At 38.1% G+C, this 21,890-nt stretch overlaps 1 protein-coding gene across 10 annotated transcripts in view; it reads right to left on the bottom strand.

Annotated features, from left to right (window-relative positions):
- Positions 1-2,447: 2,447 nt before the first annotated feature.
- TMEM39A (transmembrane protein 39A) overlaps positions 2,448-21,890 on the bottom strand; it is a 34,667-nt gene continuing 15,224 nt past the window's right edge. For 5 of the 10 annotated variants that reach the window (NR_073506.2, XM_047448511.1, XM_006713687.3 and 2 more), the window contains 5 exons: positions 20,517-20,671; positions 11,254-11,602; positions 10,290-10,477; positions 8,261-8,381; positions 2,448-5,713 (listed from right to left, as the gene is read on the bottom strand). Coding sequence is in view for 8 of the 10 variants with exons in the window: in XM_047448511.1 (XP_047304467.1) it covers positions 5,480-5,713; positions 8,261-8,381; positions 10,290-10,477; positions 11,254-11,602; positions 20,517-20,671 (1,047 nt within the window). In the remaining 2 variants the exon portion in view is untranslated. Of the gene's footprint in view, positions 5,714-8,260; positions 8,382-9,253; positions 9,435-10,289; positions 11,149-11,253; positions 11,603-20,516; positions 20,672-21,890 lie in introns of those variants that run through there. The other 5 variants (XM_047448512.1, XM_047448513.1, XM_005247578.3 and 2 more) reach the window with 3 other exon arrangements.

Here is a 21,890-nt window from a genome sequence, read left to right on the forward strand (position 1 = left end):
TTTTCAAAAAAGCAGCTTTTGAGAACTTCTTTTTTGACGTAGGCATTTATTGCTATAAACTTTACTTTTAAAACTGCTTTTGCTGCATCCCGTAAGTTTTAATATGTTGTGTTTCCATTTTTGTCTCAAGATCCTTTAAAATTTTCCCTTTAATTTCTTCATCGATGTATTGGTTGTTCAGGAGAATGTTTAATTTCCATGTATTTGTGAATTCTCCAAAATTCCTCTTGGTATTCTTTTCTCGTTTCATACCATTGTGATTGGAAAAGATATTTGATATAATTTCAGTCTTCTTAAATTTGCCAAGGCTTTTTTTGTGCCCTAACATGTGATCTATTCTGCTGAATGCTCTGTGTGCACTTGAGAGTGTGTATTCTGTTGCTATTAGATGCAATGTTCTGTATATGTCTGTTATGTCCGTTTGGTTCAGTGTTGCTAGAGTCTAATGCTTCCTTATTAATTCTGTTTAGATGATCTGTCCATTGTTGAGATAGGGTACTGAAGTCCCCTACTATTCTTGTGTTGCAATCTATCTCTCCCTTCAGATCCTTCAATATTTGTGCTATATATTTAGGTACTTCAACATTGAGTGCACATAAATTTACAATTGTTATGTCCTCTTGATGAATTGACCCTTTTATCATATGATGTCCTTCTTTATTTTTTTTTCAGAGTTTTTAACTTAAAGTCTATGTTGTCTGATATAAGTATAGCCACCCCACTCTCTTTTGGTTTCCATTTGTGTGGAGTATTCTTTTCTATCCCTTCACTTTCAGTCTACGTCTAAAAGTGAGGTGAGTCTCTTGTAGGCAGCATATAATTAGGTCTTATTTTATCCATTCAGCCACTCTATGTCTTTTTATTGGAGAAATTAATCCATTGACATTCAATCGTTGCTAGGTAAGGACTTACTACTGCCATTTTGTTAGTTGTTTTCTGATTGTTTTGTACATACTTCATTTCTTTCCTCCTCTCTTGCTGTATTCCTTTGTGGTAGTATGCTTTGATATTTTTGTTTTGTGCTTCTGAAGATTTTTGCTTTGTGGTTACCATTAGGCTTACATGGAACATCTTATACTTACAACCACCTATTTCAAGCTTATAACAACTTAACTTTGCATATAACTCTATACTTTTACACCATCATTACAATCCAATAGTATTCTGAATGGGCTCTGCTTTATTTATATGTTTGAGTTTCGTGCATGTTTTATGTTATTAATTAGTAGCTTTTTGTTTCAGTTTAAATAACTCCATTTAGCAATTCCTGCAAGGCAGGTCCAGTGATGATGAATTCCTTTAGCTTTTGTTTGTCTGGGAAAACACACTTTTCTTTTTTCTTTTCTTTTTTTTTTTTTTTTTTTTTTTACTTCTCCCTCATTTATGAAAGACAGCTTTGCTGGATAAAGTATTGTTGGTTGGCAGTTGTTCTCTTGAGCACTTTGAATTTATCCTACTCTCTCCTGACCTGAGGGTTTATGCTGAGAACTCTGCTGATGATTGTATGGCACTCCTTTTTATGTGTTATGTTTCTTGCCTCTTGATGCTCTCAAAATTTTTTGCCTTTGATTTTTGATAGTTTATTATGTGTTGTGGTGTACTCCTCTTTGGGTTGAATTTGATTGGAAACCTCTGCAGTTCTTGTACCTGGATGTTGGCATATACCACAGATTAAGGAAGTTTTCAGCCATTATTTCTTTAAATATGCTTTTTGGCCCCTTTAAATATGCTTTTCAGGCACCTCTTTCTCCTTCTCCAACCACTATTATGTGAAGGTTTGGTCTCTTGATGGTGTTCCATAATCTGTAGGCTTTAATTTTAGAAATTCTTTTGTTTTTTTTGCTCCTGGCTAGATAATTTCAAACGTTCTGTCTCCCAGCACACTGATTCTTTCTTCTTCTTGGCTGAGTCAGCTGTTGAAGCTTTCTGTTGAATTTTTCAGTCTCTTGAATTTCTATCCCATTCTTATTGTTTCTATTTGTCAACTTTCTTTTTAGTGTACTGTTTTCAAATTTCATTAAATTTTTTATCTGTATATATTAATAGTTCACTGAACTTCTTTATGGGTATTATTCTGAATTCTTTGTCAGTTATTTCATAAATCTCCATTTCTTTGGGGTCTATTATTGGAGCTTTATTAGTTTCTTTTGTAGGTGTCATGATTCCCTGATTCTTCATAATCTGTATGTTCTTGTATTGTTGTCAGTGCATTTGAGGAGACAGCCCCCTCTTCTGGCCGTTACAGGTGTTCTTGGGAAGGGATAGACCTTCACTATTTAGTCTATCCTATGATTCCAGAAGGGTCAGCTGATCAGTTAAGTGATGCTGATGCTGCTGATCTAGAGATTACTTTGGGAACTAGAAACCAGTGGATCATAAGTTATTCTTAGCTTATAATCTTTCATTAGCTGTCTTCTGTCTACAAAAGTTCCAAGACATCTGTCTGCTTATTTGAAGTACTTATGAAAAGAGCACTTTATTGGGCTTCACACTCAAGATTGTTAATAGATCTGATATCTATTACGTATCTCATACATATTTCTGTTAATGAACACCCTAGTGTGACAACTGGTTTACTTGTCTGTCTTCTATTAGTTAATGAACTCGAACATCACTATCTCCGGCACCCAGCAGTGTTTGGCATATAATTGCCCAGTACATAGAAATGAGATGCCTGGCTAGCTTAATAGAAATAAAAAAATTAATTAAAAAAAAGAGAGAGAAACGGCACAACAGGTGGCAGTGGTGGTGACTGATAGGGACAGGAAGGAAAGGAGGATTAGGAATATAAACATGGAATCAGAGTAAACAGGATATTGAGGAAAACTTCTGTCATGCTCATTCCTGTGAACTACCCTCCTCTACTCCTTTATTTACCCACCTTAGACCACCCAGACTAGTCAAGTATCTTCTTTCCTTTTCCAGTATCCCAGTTCACCCAACTGAACTTTTGCTATACCATGCTTTCCACAAACAATTTTAACTTGCCAACAAAGAATTACAAAAAAGGTCATTCTTTAATGATTACACATTTTTCTACTATCAGTGAGCAAATATAGTGTCCCTTCTGTTACATGAACTATAATAGGATATCCGGGTAACTAGTAATTTTTCTCTCTTCCATGAACGTGGCCCCTACAAAAACAAAACAACAAAACAAACAAACAAAAAACAGCTGGAATGTGTAGAACACGTTGAACTAAACGGTCTTATGCCCCGTATGCTGCCATATCTGGAGGTGAGGGTAGGAGGAACTTTGCAATTCCATTAGCCAAAATTAATTTTTATTTATTTCTTATATCCACTTACTTATTTAGCCAAGCCAGCATCTGGTTCTGTGCTATTCCCTTAGGATAGGACCAAGACAGATCAAGCCAGAAGGGGCATCATATTAGTTCATAAGACTGGTCTGTTATCTCTAATCAGGGTTTTCTGGGTTACTTTCCCAAGCTGGAGCCAAGTTGGGGCAATTTTGATGAGATATCTCTGTGCCCATGCCACCCATTTTGCTCTCAACTGCTGAGTAATCTCATGAAAATGTTGCTGCCAAGAGAAGCATATTTTCAAGATCCTACAGAAAGAATAGAAAGATGGCAGATTCCCTACCCTTCCCACCCCTACCTCAAGAACCACTATATTTAGGCTGAACTACTTTAAAAAGCAACTAACCTAATATATTTTCTTGCTATTCTTCCAATATACCAACTTGTCCCCACCTCAGGGCACTGCCCTTTCTGCTACTGTAACATGGAATTCTCCCCAAAGCTATTTATATGATTCAGTCTTGCTTTTTCTTTGCTTAAAAATCATCTCCTCAAAGATGCCTTCTAGCAGTGCTATTCTTACCACTATTTCCTTGTCCTGATTTCCCTTTGCTACACTTATCACTACTACCAGGGAATGTTATATTACACATAAATTTATTTGCTGTATTTTCTGCACCACCTAACTCCCCCACCCCCACGCATATTGTAAGCTCTGTGCAAGTAGGACCTTTGCATTTCTCATTCACTGCTATATCCCCAGGGCCTAATATAGTGCCTACTGGTTAATATATATTTGTTGAATGGTTGAACAGACTCAGACTGAATGCCAAATAATGTTAACTTAAAAAAAAAGTATACACATCAAAATATTTAAAGAAACAATTATTGATTTAAACATAAAACTGATATTGGGTACCTTGGTTTTACAAACACTCCTCACAATACTTCCCCTTGGTGAAGCCTTTCAGGAACTCTTCTGCAAGAATTATTTTCAGAGCCAGCTTGTCAACGACATGATTGGTCTTTTTACTTCATAAGTCTTATTTTGTTTCACCAAAAGCTTCACAGTGTAACAAACCAAACTCAGCACAGAAAACATATGACAATATATTTTAGATTCTCTAAGACAAGGTCTCATAAGTTTAGATGACAAGTGACAACATCAATGGACTAAGTATATCACCTCCCATAACTTAAAAGGCTAATACTCATAAACATGAAAGTTCTGGAGTATGAAATTTAAAACACAAATTTTGGATATAAATTATCTGAGTACAAAGCTGTAGGTAATTCTTATCTTTCACTTCCCCTCATAACTCCAAACATAACGCCATTGTAGGTGGGTTGCTGCTAGACTACATCCAAGATTGTTCAGCTGAGGACTTGCCCACTCTCCCAGTTACTTGGAATTTTCAACCTTCCCATACTCTAGCCCACATGGCATTTGCACTCAGCTTCTCCTACTGATCCAGCCACACATCATCTTCTTCATGAATGTGGGCAGTCTAAAGACTTCCTGTCTGGCAAAGTATTATTTCAAACAACTAAGAGGAAAATCTTTGGAAGCAGAAGTGGAAACACAGGAAAAGTGGCAGCAAAACCCTCAGCCTCAGGATAGTAGCTTATTCAAAAGTATATTTAAATGTCACAGGGTAAAATAGACCAGCTGAGTCCGTATCTTAGAAAGGAAGCCTACTGCTTTCTCCTGGTAGGCAACAAAGAGAACCCCACCTAGGACTTTAACCCACTCTTTTCCCAATGTATTCCAATACTATTAGCCAGCTGAACTAAAAGAGAATGGGTGCTGGTAGGCAACTCCATTGATCTCCCTTTCTTTAGCAATAAGTACTGGCCAGCTGAGGGCTAAAGATAATGAGGATTGAAAGAAAAGCAGACATACCAAAGGTACTGTGTCAAGTAATACATGAGATGTGTTCATAAACGAATGAGTTATTCCAGAGCCATACAAACAAATCAATCTCTTTACTGGACAGGCATACCTCTCATATGTATATTATTCGAATATACTAACACATGAAAGATCACATCACCTTGTTTACGGATACATTTAATATCCCTTACTCTTCCCGACTTTCAAAACATAATAGTATACAAAATATAAAATATCTTAAATATTTATAAAAATCACAAGAAAAAAATAGAACGTATGAAAATATTTTTATCTGAGTTCTCCCTCATTGTTGAGAGGCAGCTTAGTTTGCCTTGAGTTCATAACTGTTGAGTGGGTAGGAGTATGCCCTGCCTAATACTATTCTGTCCCGGAGAAGTTTAAATAAAACATAGTAGTTGCAGAAGAGGATGAGAGCCATGGAAAGTGTGTGGTTCCACTTCTCCGACCGCAGCAAGGAATAGAGCTGATAGAAGACGACACTGCCCTCAATAAGGATGAGCAGATTTAACAGCCTTAATGGTCGATGAAATAAGAACTGTAAGGAAGTTAAAAAAGTAAAACATTATTTCATAGAAAAGTAATGGCTACAGTTATTCTTGCATTGATTTTTCTAAAATAATTTAACATTTACAGGTTCCCATATATAATAATAAATAGATCTGTTTATTTAATATCAATCAGGCTATTTCTTGCTATAAAGATTGAAACCTTTTCCTTTTTGCTCAAGAAATAATGAAATAATTTTTATTTCAATGCCCCTGAGACACGAAAAGAGATTATGCCCAAAAGAAAACTACTTATAAACATTTTTCTTAGATTATATTTTAGGTATATATTTTATTTAGGATAAACACAAAAGTATATTCATCTAAGACAGAGGTGGATAAAGGACCAAACAGGAAATATTTTAGGCTTTGTAAGTCAAGAGGCAAAAATTAAGGATATTACATAGGTACTTATGTAACCATTTAAAAATGTAAAAAACATTCTTGGCTTGTAAACTAAGACATAAATACCAACACTAGACAAGTTTGGGGAAAAGAGAGGTTACAAGTCAAATATGAATACAATAGTTTCTTAGTTTTTCCTTAAACTGTTTACCCACCATGGTCACTGACTGAAATCCTCTACACCATATACCTGTGTGTTTAATTACTGATTTTTTTCTGGATATTGAGAAGCAGGGTGCACAAAGACAGGATAAGGAGGAAGGAAGGAAAAATGAGTCAGAATTAGACTAAAAATAGGGATTACTACTATATTTACTCCCACTAAATTCTCCACTTTAAAAGGCTAAATTCTGGTTTTCTAATACAAAGTTATTATGAATACAAACATATAGGCCACAAGTTGTAAAAGAACATTAACAATTCAGCTTAACCAGTCTAATCCTAAATCTAGATGAAGACAAGAGTGCAGTAACAGCAGTGATCAGATCTAAAATAACTAATTTAGATGGAATTTAGATCTTAAGAGCTTACACCTCAGAATGAAGCCAAATTATCATGACAGCTTTAAAAAGTTTCCAGGTTCAAGAGGAAGAAAATGTTTAACCTGGAGTTTGACAGCTATAGGTAATAGGCACACTTTAAATGACTGTTTTGAAACTTCAGTGTGCCTAAGAATCATTTCCAAATCCACAAATGCTGCCAATTCCTGGGATCATCCAGAGATTCTGGTTCAGAAGTCTGATATAGGGGCCCTGAATCACTTTTTAAAAATAGTGGGCCAGGTGATTTATCAGCAGGTGGCCCATGGATCACTTGGAGAAGCACTGATTTAACTGTCTATCCAGTCCTGCAAAATCAGTAATAAATCAACTTGCCTAATCTTTTTTCCATAGATTCCACCCGATTTTTCAGCTGTCCAAAGCTAGCAAGGAAACTACTTAATTTTCAAGCAGAAAATTCTAATGAACTATTTCGCTATCACAGGTCTCAAGGAGACAGCAAGGACCAACAGAAGTCATTAATGGCCTAGAGAATTCAGCTGGCTGAATTAAATATTCTATATAGAAATCAAGTGCTCATGTACTTGTGACTTAAGTCCTTTCCTCCACCTTAAGGCATTTCCACTGGCGTCAAGAAGGAGATGCTTGTCGTTTTCTCACTCAAGGGCTTTCCACCTTCCCCATGTTCCTCCCAATCTGCCCCACCCTGCATTCCCCTACCATGGTATTTATAAGCATCATGCCCAGGGGCAAGTTCCCAAAACTTAATTGAAGTGTCCCTCAATAACAAACACCTGCAGAACCAGAAAGTCCATATACCCTCACAGGAACTGAGAAGGACAGAGGGAGAAAGAGATGCAAGTATCTTAAAAAAGATCTCCAATTCTTGTTTAGAATATGATCCCCTTTCAAAAGCAATGCACTGCACTATAGGCATTTTTACTATAAACAGTCCCCTGCAGGCACCTACTTTTCCCCACTTGCATTAGTCAGCTGGCCTTTCTTTTATAAGTATATACTTTTGCCTTGTACAGACAATTTCTGGAAGGCTGAAAGACCAAATAGATCATAACCGAAGGCATGAGTTCAATGGAATGTAGTGGGTTTCTATTGCTTTTTCCTTTTTTAACTTTTAAGCTTTTTTCCTTTTCATGGCATTTGTCTGACTTCCAAAGGGGAAGCTAAAGCCTTTGTAAAGAAACAATATATATGACAAATACCTAAAAATAAAACCACCGCACTATTAATATATTAAATGTCACTATGGATACACAGATACAATATATCTTAACAATACCACTAAACCAAACTCTTACAAAACAAAAATGGTAAGATGAAAAAGGAGTCTTAGATAACTGCCTGCTTGTTTCAAGTAATACTAGATTCGACAAATACCAATGTAACTAGAGAAACCAGCTAAGCTACTGAAACTGGAATAACAGTATATGATCTTCAAACTGCCCTTCAAAAGACATTTCCAAAGTACAGGGACCACTGTTACGCTAGTAGCAATAATTACCATGTAATAATTTCCTAGTATGTGCTACATGCTATGCTACATGCTTCCACATAGAGTGGCCTCCTAACACTTACCCCTAAGCTTATGTTTGAAAATAAATAAGCGGTACTTGCATAAAAGCGGGCATGAGATACATCTGAAGGCACTGCCACGTTGTAAGGCCCCATGGCTCTATATAAACATCTGCTGTGCCGCACCAGCACCCCTTGAGGCCATATTGTATTTTCTGACCAACTAAGGGAGAAAGAAATGCAATGTTAGCATATTGGCAATTACAGATAAGATAGCATCTGGCAAGGCCAGCTGTATTTTTATGGAAGGAATTAAATAATCAAGGCTTCATCTGCCTGAATTCTGAAAATACAGTAATTCCATGGTCAAACTGGAGTAGTTTTAGAAAGGATTTGTTACTTTAACTTCATTGCTATATAGTAAACAGAGGTTGCAAAGAAATATAGTTAACTCAGTGTCAAAGGACTTAAGAGGCTTAGAAGAATGAGCAGACATAAATGTGTAAGCCAGAAAACAGTGTGTAAGCAGGGTGACTGTCATCTCCATCCCAAGTGAGCAGAGTCTACTGGTGGAAATGCTAGAGGGAACAAACAAGAAGAGAAAGCTGATGGTAATAAGAATAGTGGAGAAATTAGCACATTGTCAATCTAGCATGACATTTACTGCAGAATTACATCCCAAAAAACTATAGGAAATCAGTTTGCTTATCACACAATTCAAATACCTCACAACTGTAAGAAGATATACAGTAGAACACAGCGATACATCTCACACACACACACAGACTTTTCACTGCTTTCATGGTTTATTTTTATAGAGGTTTCTCTGGGGGAAAAGAAGTTACAGAAGCAGCAGCTTCATTCTTTCCAGCATAATGGAGTTTGGGTGGGGACAGGGATCTTCAGGTTAAGCTTTTTAAAAAAAAAAAAAAAAATCTAAGTTAATTCATCTCTTCCTGATTTTGGAAAGGTTAGTTTCCTAGGATAAGAACTGGGAGGCAGTTTAGATATGTTATTAAAAAAAAAAAAAAAAATTCTAGCACCCTAAAGCTTTCCCAGTTCAGAAAATGTTCCACCGGCCTTGCTCACACTTACCAGCATTAAAGTGATGATACACCTCATGGCCATGTGCCATCAGTAGCCTGAAGATGTACAGTACTAGTACTGTGGATTGTATTTTCAATTTTTATTGAAATCTGTCCTTTGCCCACAGTCGGGTTTCTTTTCAGCCTGGCCCAATCTCTTTCAGTTCCTGGGCTTGAAGGCCTGTGCTAATCTGTATCAGACATCAAGGCAGATAATTGAAGGGAGAACTCTCAGGGGGAGAGGGAAAGGGAAGGTCACCTCAATCTGTCCCACTTAACTAGGGAAAAATTTCTAGATGAAATTTGTGAAATGTTCAAATTACAAAAGGGGGAAGATGAAGATGGTTTGGGTCTGAAAGAAAAGTATGATGAAGGACTCAGAAGTGACAGAATAAAACGGTCCTAATGTTAGCCATTTTGGATCATAGGAGCCATGTGGAGTAATGACTGATAAGGGGGACACAATGAGAAAAATTCTTCCAAAGAACTCAGTCAGGCACAGTTCTCACTTAAACACAGGAGAAGCAGGGAAATATTCAGTAGAGAGTTTAGAAAGAAAATAATAGTAAAAAAGTACAGGTAAGGAAAATTACTAGAACAAAACTGCATGTATTAGAAAGAAAAAATGAGAGAATCATATTCCAGCTAAGTGTGAGATGAATAGCTAGCAACTACTCAGCTGTGGCAATGAAGATGAGAAGACAAATCTTAAAGTCTTCTAAAAAGAAATAAAATATATGACTCTTTGAATTCGGGCAAAGGGGTAAGATTGAAAGAGAACGCCAAGTGCATTGCTTGGGAGACAAATTACACACACTAGAGTGACTGGGCAGCTGAAAGGTAGAACGCATTTAAGGAGCTGGGGTGGTGGTGGAAATGAGTTAATGTCCCTTGTATTCAGTTTAGCATGATGACAAGCATCCATGTAAGACAAAAACTAAAAATTAAATGTTCAAAGCCAAGAACAAGAATGACATACAAAGCAAATAAACATGATCAGCAGCATGTAGAAAGTGTTACATGGTTTTACCCTCTAGCTTACTCACATGTGCTGTGGAGCATTGCTGTAGGACCCATGTTCCAACTTCTGCCACTTGCCCAGGTGAGCAGCTGATTTATGTAGCAAATCACAGTATTTGGATGGCAACAGTTGCGTGGTGAGCATGACAAAAGCATTGATCCACACCATAATGAGGTGCTCACATGACCAGCGCATGTCATAGTACTGGGTACTCTGGAAGAGATCAGAAGAGAGAGAAATGATCCATGCACTGGTAAAAAGAGGCAGGGATGGGTTGGTGTACATATGCCCTGCAGACAAATGCCACACTGAGTCACACATGCACTGGTGGTCCTGCTGTCCGTGCAGAAAAGTTCAAGAGCAGAGTCCTCCACAATCCTTCAACCTGACTTTCTGGCTGTATGAGTTAGGGATGGGAGGGAGAGGCAATTATATTTTAAGTGTCTCCTTTCTAGAAGAACTGAGTGTTCTCTGAAGGACCATTCCAGCTGCAGAAGTACTTCTGAATGGGTGAAGAAAGGGCACTAAAATGTACCAAAAGATTTTGGGCCCAAGTGACATCCAGACCATTTTTCTTTTCTATTAAAGTAAACTGAAGTTTAGATAAGGGCTAGATTAAATTCAAGGAAACTCCTGATAACCATGTTAAGATCAACCACAGTAGGCTGAGTTTTACTGAAACCTTGGTCCTCTTAAGCTACTACATACTGATTCTATTATAAGTACATTTTGATTCTCCCCAGAAACTAAAAATACTTAAAAAAAAAAAAAAAAAGAAAAAAAGAGGGAACCACCACGGGTGCATCACATATATGGAAATACCTATCCGCCAACCAGGAGCGGTATTAGTGCACTCCAGATGCAGCCGAACTCCACCATCCAGGCTGCCAAAGGGGAGACAGAGAAAAGGGGGATTAAACAAGAAATACCCAGTTTATGTAATTCACACACAAATCCAGGAAGCACATAAAAGTAAGATAACCACTTACCTTCACAAAACACAGGGGGAGAAATGCAACATAGTAGGCACTGAAGAGGGAGTTGAAGAGAACCTCCTTGATTCTGTGGTTGAAATCTGCTTTCAGACATTCTACTTCATTGCGAATGAGGTCTGGAGATAGGGGACAACTGTGGGTGGGGATGGGTGTGGCATTATTAAACTGTTCTTTTAGCGACTCCAGCAACAAGGAGAGAAAGTCTTTGGATTTGGCCAAGCCTCCCACAGTCGAGGCACTTTCCTCTACTGCCTCGTGCTGAACCACATAGTTGTAGTCTGTGAGAAGAAGATGTGCTCTACTATCTTGATGAAAACAGCAAAGAGGAACATAAACACCAAACCTGTAAAACAAAGTGTGAAAATGAGACCACAGATACCACCTAAAATCACACCTTATAACTTACGTCAATATAACTTATAACTTAGGTCAATAAAATAGTCAGGACCCGCAGGAGTAAACATAACTCAAGAGGGACATTGCTGATAGTAAATTCATTATCTGGGGAGCTCTTCAATTTCTTTCCATAAGAGCAGTGCACATTCATTGTAGATTATTAAGAACCTACAGAAAAACCACAATGGCAAAACACACATCACTTAGCAATAATCATTTTTATAACTAGATGCACATATTTCCAATATAAAGTTTGTAAACTTTGTATTATAGTTACATATGCTTTTTTCCTTTTGTGTTTGGCTTCATACAGTACCATGTGTTTTGTATCCTGCTGTTTAAACTTTGTATGTGTGCATGTGTGTATATTGAGTATTTTCCCTGTGTAGTGAGTATTTTCTCAAGTCTAAATATTTTTCTATAGAAATTTTTAAAGATACAATAGTATTCTCATATAGAAATACCATAATTTACCCATTTCTCTCTTGTTGGAAACAGGCTGTTTCTTATTTTCCACTACTATAAATAACAATGTGATAAGGATTTTCCCAATACGTGTGTACGTTTGGTCATTTTAGTACAGCTTGTTCTTTACTTCAAATGTCCCTTTCTTAGTAGGGGGCCCTCCTGCCTCCCTACTGTATCACCCATCCCACTCCCACAGGCGACCCTTCTTCTCCTTTCCTGCTTATTTTTCTCCACAGATCTTACCATGTTTATTCGATTTTTAACTTTGGGGGTAGTTTTGTTTGTTTTCTTTCTTAGTCAATCTTCCCTTCACTACAATTTAAGCTCTATGAACCAGAGATTTCAACGTAATTAATTCACTGCTGTAACTCTGGTACCTCAGATAGTGGCTGTAACACTGTTTAAGTATGCAATAAACTTCTCATTAATAAAAAAAAATTCTGGAAGTACAAATGAATTTCTACCAGTAAAATTAATTGGTTAAAGAAGTGAACATTTTTGAGACTTCTGATAACTTCTTATAGTATTCCAACTGTTGGTTCCTTAAAATTTGTTTAAATACTTCAAGTCCTCATTAAGTAATTTCCACATTGTGACCTAGGTATTATAAATTAAATGGTCATTTCATGCACATAAATTCAGATATGAAAAATAGCAAATAAAAAGATATTTAGGGCCAGGGACAGTCCCTCATGCCTATAATCCCAGCACTTTGGGAGGCCAAGGCGAGCAGGTCACCTGAGGTCAGGAGTTCAAGACCAGCCTGGTCAACATGGTAAAACTCTGTCTCTACTAATAATACAAAAATTAGCTGGGTGTGGTGGCGCGCACCTGCAATCCCAGCTACTCGGAGGCTGAGGCAGGAGAATCACTTGAACCCTGGAGGTGGAGGTTGCAGTGAGCCGAGACTGCACATTGCACTCCACCCTGGGCAACAAGAGTGAAACTCCTTCTCAAAAAAAAAAAAAAAAAAGATATTTAGTTATACATTTTATAACAAAATGAACAGATGACACTTATCCATAGTTTTCTACAGAGGGAGAACTGATGTTACTAATTAAGAACATTCTTAGCATTAGCTCTGGGATCTACTGTGAATGTGCCCTTGGGAGGACAAGAGTGGGTAGAAGTAGAAGTATTAATTCTAATTTTTTTTTTTTTGAGACAAGGTCTTACTCTGTCACCCAGACTGGAGTACAGTAGCGAGATTACGGCTCACTGAAGCCTCAACTTCTTGGGCTCACGCAATTCTCCCGCCTCAGCCTCCTAAGTAGCTAGGACTACAGGCGCATGCCATTACACGCGGCTAATTATTTTATTTTTGGTAGAAACAGGGTCTCCCTATGTTGCTCAGGCTGGTCTTGAACTCCTGAGCTCAAGTGATCCTACCGCCTGGGCCTTGCAAAGTGGTGGGATTACAGGTGTAAGCCACCGCACCCAGACAGAGAAGAAGTATTAGACAAAAATCTCTCACATGTGCATATCTGTGATGGCTAGAGCAGGTCATCAGAAGTTCAATGCTGCCAAAACACAAGCTGCATGTGTAGGTGTAGAGGTGGGGATAAGAGGCTGGAGTGTGTGGTAGATTGTAATGATGGCCCCAATTCTTTACCCTCCTTTGTAGTCTCACTGCCACATAACTGCATGGCCCTCATTCTATGGGTGAGGCGACCTGCCCTATCCCCATACTGGGCTCTACAATGGAGGGCTTTGTGAGGTAAAGAAAATAATTCATTAAAGGATTTTAAAGAGGGTTAGTAACATGATTAAATTTCCCATTGTGAAAATCATTCTAGCTACAATAAAAATGAAATGGAGGGGAACAAGAATGGATTATCAGAAGACCAGATGAAGGTTGATAATGCAATAGTAAAAACTATGGAGAGCATTGGACCAATTCAAGATACACTTAGGAACCACAACTGTTAGACTTTAGACTAATTCACCCTAATGAGAAGCTATTTGAGAACTGAGGGGTAAGAAAAAGAGGCAGAAAAGGGCCTCTTTCTTAGTTTAACCTATGAATAAACAGGAAATTAAACATGTTGCTATTGTCATAATCTAGTATTTTAAATTTCTCGCACTTTTGATTTTTAAATTGAAGTTTAGATAAAAGGTGGATTATACAACTTCTTAAAAGTAACGAAGGCAAATACAGGCATACCTCATTTTATTGCATTTCACTTCATTGTGCTTCCCAGATACTGTATTTATTACAAACTGAAGGTTTGTGGCAACCCTGCATCAAGCGTATCTGGGGGTGCCATTTTCCAAAGTGCTCACTTTGTGTCTCTGCCATATTTTGGTAATTCTCCCAATATTTCAAACTTTTTCATTACTATTACATCTGTTATGCGAAATGTGATCTTTGATATTACTACTGTAATTGTTTTGGGGCACTACAAACTGCACCATATGAGACAGCAAACTTAATGGATAAATGTTTGTTCTCATTGTTCCATCAATGAGCCATTCCCCCATCTCTCTCCCTCACGTCAGACCTCCCTATTCCCTAAAACACAAGAATATTGAAATAAGGCCAACTAATAACCCTAAATGGCCTCCGAGTGTTCAAGTGAAAGGACATCACACATCTCTCACTTTAAATCAAAAAGTGGATATTAAGCTTAGTGAGAAAACATGTCAAAAGCCCAGACAAGCTGAAAGCTGGGCCTCTTGTATTAGCTAGCCGAATTGTAAATGCAAAGAAAAAGTTATTCAAGGAAATTAAAAGTGCTACTCCAGTGAACATACAAATGGTAACAAAGAAAACAGCCTCACTGCTGATATGGAGAAAGTTTTGCTGATATGGTCTGGATCGACCAGCCACGACATTGCCCTAAACCAAAGCCTAATCCAGAGCAAAGCCCTAACTCTTTTTAAGTCTATGAACCTCCAGAGAGGTGAGAAAGCTACAGAAGAAACGTATGAAGGTTAACAGCGGTTAGTTCGTGAGGTTTAAGGAAAGAAGCTGTCCCATAACATAAAAGCACAATGTGAAACAGCAAGTGTGAATCTACAAACTGTAGCAAGTTATCCAGAAGACCTAGCTAAGATCACTGATGAAGGTGACTAAACTAACAGACTTTTCAAGGGTGACAAAACAGCCTTATACTGTATTGGAAGAAGATGCCATCTAGACTTCCATACCTAGAGAGGAGAAGTCAATGCCTGGCTTCAAAGCTTCAAAGGATAAGCTGACTCTCTTGTTAGTGGCTAACGCAGCTGGTAACTTTAAGTGGAAGCCAATGCTTATTTACCATTCCAAAAATCCTACCATCCTTAAGAATTATGCAAAATCTACTCTGCCAATGCTCTAGAAATAGAACAACATATTTGGATGACAGTACATCTGTTTACAGCATGGTTTACTGAATAAGCTCACTGTTGAACCTACGGTTTAGAAAAAAGATTCCTTTAAAAATATTATGTACGGCTGGGTGCGGTGGCTCACGCCTGTAATCCCAGCACTTTGGGAGGCTGAGGCAGGCGGAGCACCTGAGGTCAGGAGTTCGACACCAGCATGGCCAACATAGCGAAACCCCGACTCTACTAAAAATCCAAAGAAATTAGCCAGGCATGGTGGCATGCACCTGTAGTCCCAGCTACTTGGGAGGCTGAGGCAGGACAATCACTTGAACCTGGGAGGCAGAGGTTGCAGTGAGCTGAGATCACACCACTGCATTCCAGCCTGGGCAACAGAGAAAGACTCCATCTCAAAAAAAAAAAAAAAAAGTACTTACTGCTCATTGACAGTGTACCTAGTCACCAAAGGCTCTGATGGAGATTGTTGTTTTTATGCCTGTTAAGATAGCATCCATTCTGCAGCCATGAATCAAGAAGTAATTCTGATTTTCAAATCTTATTATTTAAGAAATACGTTTTGTAAGGCTATTTCTGCATTAAATAGAGATTCCTCCAATGGATCTGGGCAAAGTAAACTGAAAACCATCTGGAAACAATTCACCATGCTAAATGCCATTGAGAACATTTGTGATTTATGAGAGGAGGTCAAAATATCAACACGAGCAAATGTGGAGGAAGTTGATTCCTACCCTCATGGATGACTTTGAGAGGTTCAAGACTTCACTGGAGAAAGTAACCGCAAATGTGGAAGAAAAAGCAACAGAACTAGAATTAGAAGTGGAGCCTGGACTAGGTGCAGTGGCTCATGCCTCTAATCCCAGCACTTTGGGAAGCCAAGGAGGCTGGATCACTTGAGCCTAGGAGTTCGACACCAGCCTAGGCAACATAGCAAAACCCCACCTCTACAAAAAAACAAAATACAAAAATTAGCCGGGTGTGGTGGCACACACCTGTAGTCCCAGCTACTTGAGAGGCTGAGGTGGGAGGATCACTTGAGCCCAGGAGACAGATGTTGCAGTGAGCCATGATTATACCACTGCACTCCAACCTGGGCGACAGTGAGACCCTGTCTCAAAAAAAAAAAAAAAAAAAAAAAAGTGAAGCCTGAAGATGTGGCTGCACTCTCTCACAATCAAACTTAAACGGATAAGGAGCTGCTTCTTATGGATAAGAAAGTTGTTTCTTGACATAAAATCTATTTCTGGTAAAGATGCTGAGAACACTGTTGAAATGACAAAGAGTTTAGAATATTATATAAACTTAGTTGTTACAGCAGCAATAGGGTTTGAGAGAAATGACTTCAATGTTGAAAGAAGTTCCACTGTGGGTAAAATATTATCTATCAAACACATCACATGCTACAGAGATATGTTTCATGAAAGGAAGTGTCAACTGATGTGGCCAACTTCACTGTTGTCTTATTTTAAGAAAGTGACAAAGCCATCCCAACCTTCAGCAACCACCACCCTGATCAGTCAGCAGCCATCAACATTGAGGCAAGACTCTCCACCAGCAAGATTACAACTCACTGAAGGCTCAAATGCTCATCTGCATACTTTAGCAATCAAGTATTTTTTAATTAAGATATGTACTTTTAAAAGACATAATGCTATTATGTACTTAATAGAATACAGATAGTATAAGGCTGGGCATGGTGGCTCCCCTCTGTAACCCCAGCACTTTGGGAGGCCAAGGCAAGAGGATCACTTGAGCCCAGGAGTTCAAGACCAGCCTGGGCAACAAAACGAGACCCGATCTCTACAAAAAAATTTAAAAATTAGCCAGGCATGGTGGCACACGGCTACAGTCCCAGTCCCCTAGGATTGCTTGAGCAATCCTAGGAGGGCAAGGCTGCAGTGAGCTGTGATTGCACCACTGCACTCCAGCCTGGGCAACACAGCAAGACCTTGTCTCAAAAAATAAAATAAAATAAAATAAAATAAAATAGACTACAGTATAGTGTACACATAACTTTCATATGCACTAGGAAATCAAAAAATTGACATGACTCGTTTATTGTGATATTCGCTTTATTGCAGCAGTCTGGAACAGAACTTACAACATCTCTGAGGTATGCCTGTATGTTTAAAACTAAAATGTATTTAAATTACATAATTATTTCATTGTTTTAAGGGGTGTGGAGAGCCTCTAAGAGTAAGTTTCTTTATATACTTAAATTGAAACAGAAAAGTTTGCTAGCCATCCTGATAATAGTAATCCTCTTAAACTTGGCCAAAATATTCTTCAATATACCCATAATTAGCCGTTCAAATCAGACACGGTTAATCTTCTGATTCAACCAGTAAGGAGAATGACTAAAAATTTATTTTCAACTCAAATGGCTGAAATATTAATCTATAAATATAGAAACAATTCATGTAAAATATATTCCTCATATGAAATCAGAGTCATGAAAAATGTTCGTAACAGATAATTCATTTTGTAGAAAACAAGGGTAATATTAATGAATTCAGTTGATGAGTGACTTAAATAACTGTTTAAACAATGTAATCAGACCTACTATAGTATAACCAATAGAAAGACTGTTCCTGTCATCCTTATTAGCACAATCTCTAATTATGACTTGATTTTATACTTTGTAATTACCCACATAAATTCACGCTAACACTTCAGCACCATAAATAATATAAAGCAGTAATTCTCAAACTTGAGCATGCATCAGAATCACCTTGAGGGCTTGTTAAAACACAACTTGCTAGGTCCTACTTTCCAGTTTCTATTTCAGTAGGTTTGGGGTAGATTCTGAGAATTTCCAACAAATTTATAGGTGATGCTGATGCTGCTGTTCTAGAAACTACATTTTGAGAACTACTGATACAGTAATGATTAAGACAAAGACTCTGGAATCAAAAAAACCTTACTCCTCAGCCTGGGCAACATGGTAAAATCCTGTCTCTACAAAACAAAACAAAACAAAAATTAGCGGGGCATGGTGGTGTGCACATGTAGTCCCAACTACTTGGGAGGCTGAGGTGGGAGAATTGCTTGAGCCTGAGAGGTCAAGGCTGCAGTGAGCTGAGATCGCTCTACTGCACTCCCGCCTGGATGACAGAGCAAAACCCTGTCTCAAAAAAAAAAAGCAACCGTCTCTGGACAGTGGTGGGGTTTGATGGGAAAGTGGCATGACAGAATCTTGTGGAGTATGTGTAACGCTCTGAAGTCTTGACAGGGGATTAAGTCACACAGGTATGTCCACATTTAACAAAACTCCATATACACAAGATTTGGGAATTTTATTTTATTTTATTTTATTTATTTATTTATTTGAGACAGAGTCTTGCTCGTCGCCCAGTCTGGAGTGCCATGGCGCGATCCTGGCTCTGGCTCATTGCAACCTCCATCTCCTGGGTTCGAGTGATTCTTCTGCCTCAGCCTCCCGAGTAACTGGGATTACAGACACGTGCCACCACGCCCTGCTAATTTTTTTATTTTTAGTAGAGACGGGGTTTCGCCATGTTGGCGAGGCTGGTCTCGAACTACTAACCTCAGGTGATCTGCCCACCTCGGCCTCCCAAAGTGCTAGGATTACAGGCTTGAGCCACCGCGCCCGGCGGGAATTTTATTTATATGAATTTAACCTCAAAAGAAAAAAAAGCTGTCAACAAATATCGAGCTCTAGTTAATGATACACACATGCTGAAGTATTGAGGAGGAAGCAAACTGAGGTCTGAAATTTAACTTTGAAATGCATCAAAAGTAAGATGGACTAATGGATAGAGGGATGGAGAGATGGACAGATAAGTATTACACAGTTATAGTAAAACATTAATAGGCAGAATCATCTGGGTAAGGATTACACTGGTGATAGCTGTAAAATTCTTTCAACCTTGTTGAATGTTTAAAAGGTTTTGTAATAAAATGTTAGTTACAATCATAATAATATATATACATGTCTACAGCACTTGAATATGGCATAGAGTAGACCCTCTTACCTGCAGGAAGACATTCCAACACCCCAGTGGATGCCTAAAACCATGGATAGTACCAAACCCTACATACACTATGTTTTTTCCTATACTATATACACATACATACAATAAAGTTTTAACTTATAAATTAGGTACATTAAGAGATTAATAATAAAATAGAACAATTATAACAATATACTGTTTACAATTTCATGGATAGAAGATTCATTCTTACAGTAAATCTTAGCAACCTCAGCATGATTTTTCGTCTTTCCTTACTAAGTCAAGAACTTTCCCTTTTCACTTAAAGGAAGCACTTTACAGCTTTCCTTTGGCATACCTGAATTGTGAGCATAACTACACTTTGGAGCCATATTAAGTAAAATAAAGGTCACGTGAACACAAGCCCTGTGACACCATGCCAGTCCATCTAATAACCAAGTCCGCTACTAAGCAACTAATTGACAGGTAGCATGCACGGCACAGACATGGTGGACAAAGAGATGATTCACATCCTGGTGGGACAAAATGGGATGGCGAGAAATTTCACCATACTACTCAGAACAGCACACAATTTAAAACATAATTTGTCACATATTTCTGGAATTTTCTATTTAATGTTTCTGGACCTTGGTTGATCGCAGGTAACCGAAACTTCAGAAATCAAAACCATGGATAAGGGAGGACTACTTATTGTACTTCTGTTACAGGAAACAGAAGATCAAAGTAATATGACCAACCAAGGGTAAGACTGGTTTTCGAACCAGTGCATTCATCTAAAATTAACTACCGTTTACCCAAATATAGATAGCAAGAGGGGCCTTTACTTGGTGAAGAGAGACAATTAAAATATTCTCCACTGGCAACACACCCTACATTCCAGGTTTCCCAGGACAGTCCTGGTTTATGCCTGTTGTCCCAACTGTACTCCAGTTTAGAAAACAAATTATATGTTCACCATGCTCATGGATTTCCCAGTTTTCTAAATGCTTCATTTATATTTGAAGAATTTCATTTTTCACTCTTAAAAGTATCGTTTACGTGACCGAAATAATTTCTAAAGATTTACTAATAACATGGTAAAACTGGAGTACTCACGGGTAGCCAAGGAAAAGGAGATTGAGGACTGAATGGCTTCGAAAGAGATTGACGAGGGTCCAACAAAGTACCCATCCACACAAAGTGAGTAGTACCAAGCGAGCTGATATCAGAACCATGTAGTGAATCATTGATGCTGCACCTGCCTTAGTAGCCTGAAAGTTTGGAAGCACCAAAATGAACATTTTGTAAATGATCTTCTTCAAAAGCATTGTAATTCAAGTAAGAACTTAATAGGTTTAGTGGAAGCTAAAATGTGTCTTTAAAAAGTGAAATAAAAGAAAAACTGCCCCATCCCACCTTATCTTCGTAATAATTGAAAATTCAGACTTCTCCAGGCACAGTTGTTTCCTTCTTGCACCCCGAGAGTGCCATCTACAGAACTCTTTTAAGGTCTTTTTATATCATCTAATTTATTAACATTGGAGCTTCTCAAAGTATGTTCCACGGATCACATTATTTTGTTCCATCAGAATGACCTGGGCTACTAATTGGACATGTAAACTCCTAACAACTTTCCTCTCAAGGGGTAAGGAATAAAATCTTGAGTCAAGCAACCTATATTTTAACAACTTAACCAGTGTTTTATTTATTTATTTATTTTTAATTTTTTTTTTTCGAGACAAAGTCTCGCTCTGTTGCTGTTGCCCAGGCTGGAGTGCAGTGGCACAATCTTGGCTCACTGCAACCTCTGCCTCCTGGGTTCAAGCGGTTCTCCTGCCTCAGCCTCCTGAGTAGCTGGGATACAGGCGTACACCACCACGCCCAGCTAATTTTTGTATTTTTAGTAGAGACAGGGTTTTACCATGTTGGCCAGGATTGTCCTAACTCCTGACCTCGTGATCCACCCACCTCCCAAAGTGCTGGGATTACAGGCATGAGCCACTGTGCCCGGCCTGATTTTTTATGTACATAAACATGGAGAGACACTAATTTATCTGTCTTACTTCCCACTAAACTATAAAGGGCCTCAACAGCAGTAACAATATTTTTATTTTTCTTTGAATCCTCACCTCTAATTTGCTTGGTGAATTAATGTTTAATAAATTAGTGAAGTTTCAAAAAATAATCCGATCTTCTTTGACAGATCCCTATATAAATAAGTTTCTTTTTTAACTTTTGCAAACATGGAAATAATGCATAATCACTTCCAATTCTTTTTATCACAGCTATTCAAATATGCTTCTTCAATCGCAAATCTTTAAAACTGACTAAATATATTAAGTACTTGTCAAAACTTACTCTGCAATGCCATTTTCTTTCTGAATGAACTAGGGAGAAGAGAATGAGCAAAATGTAGGGGAAAATGGAAGATCCCCATAACCTCTAAGAGAGCAGTGATGGAACCCAAAAAGGAGAAAAAAATTATCTAGA

The sequence above is a fragment of the Homo sapiens genome, chromosome 3 (assembly GCF_000001405.40).
Source record: "Homo sapiens chromosome 3, GRCh38.p14 Primary Assembly".
NCBI classification, from domain to species: domain Eukaryota; kingdom Metazoa; phylum Chordata; class Mammalia; order Primates; family Hominidae; genus Homo; species Homo sapiens.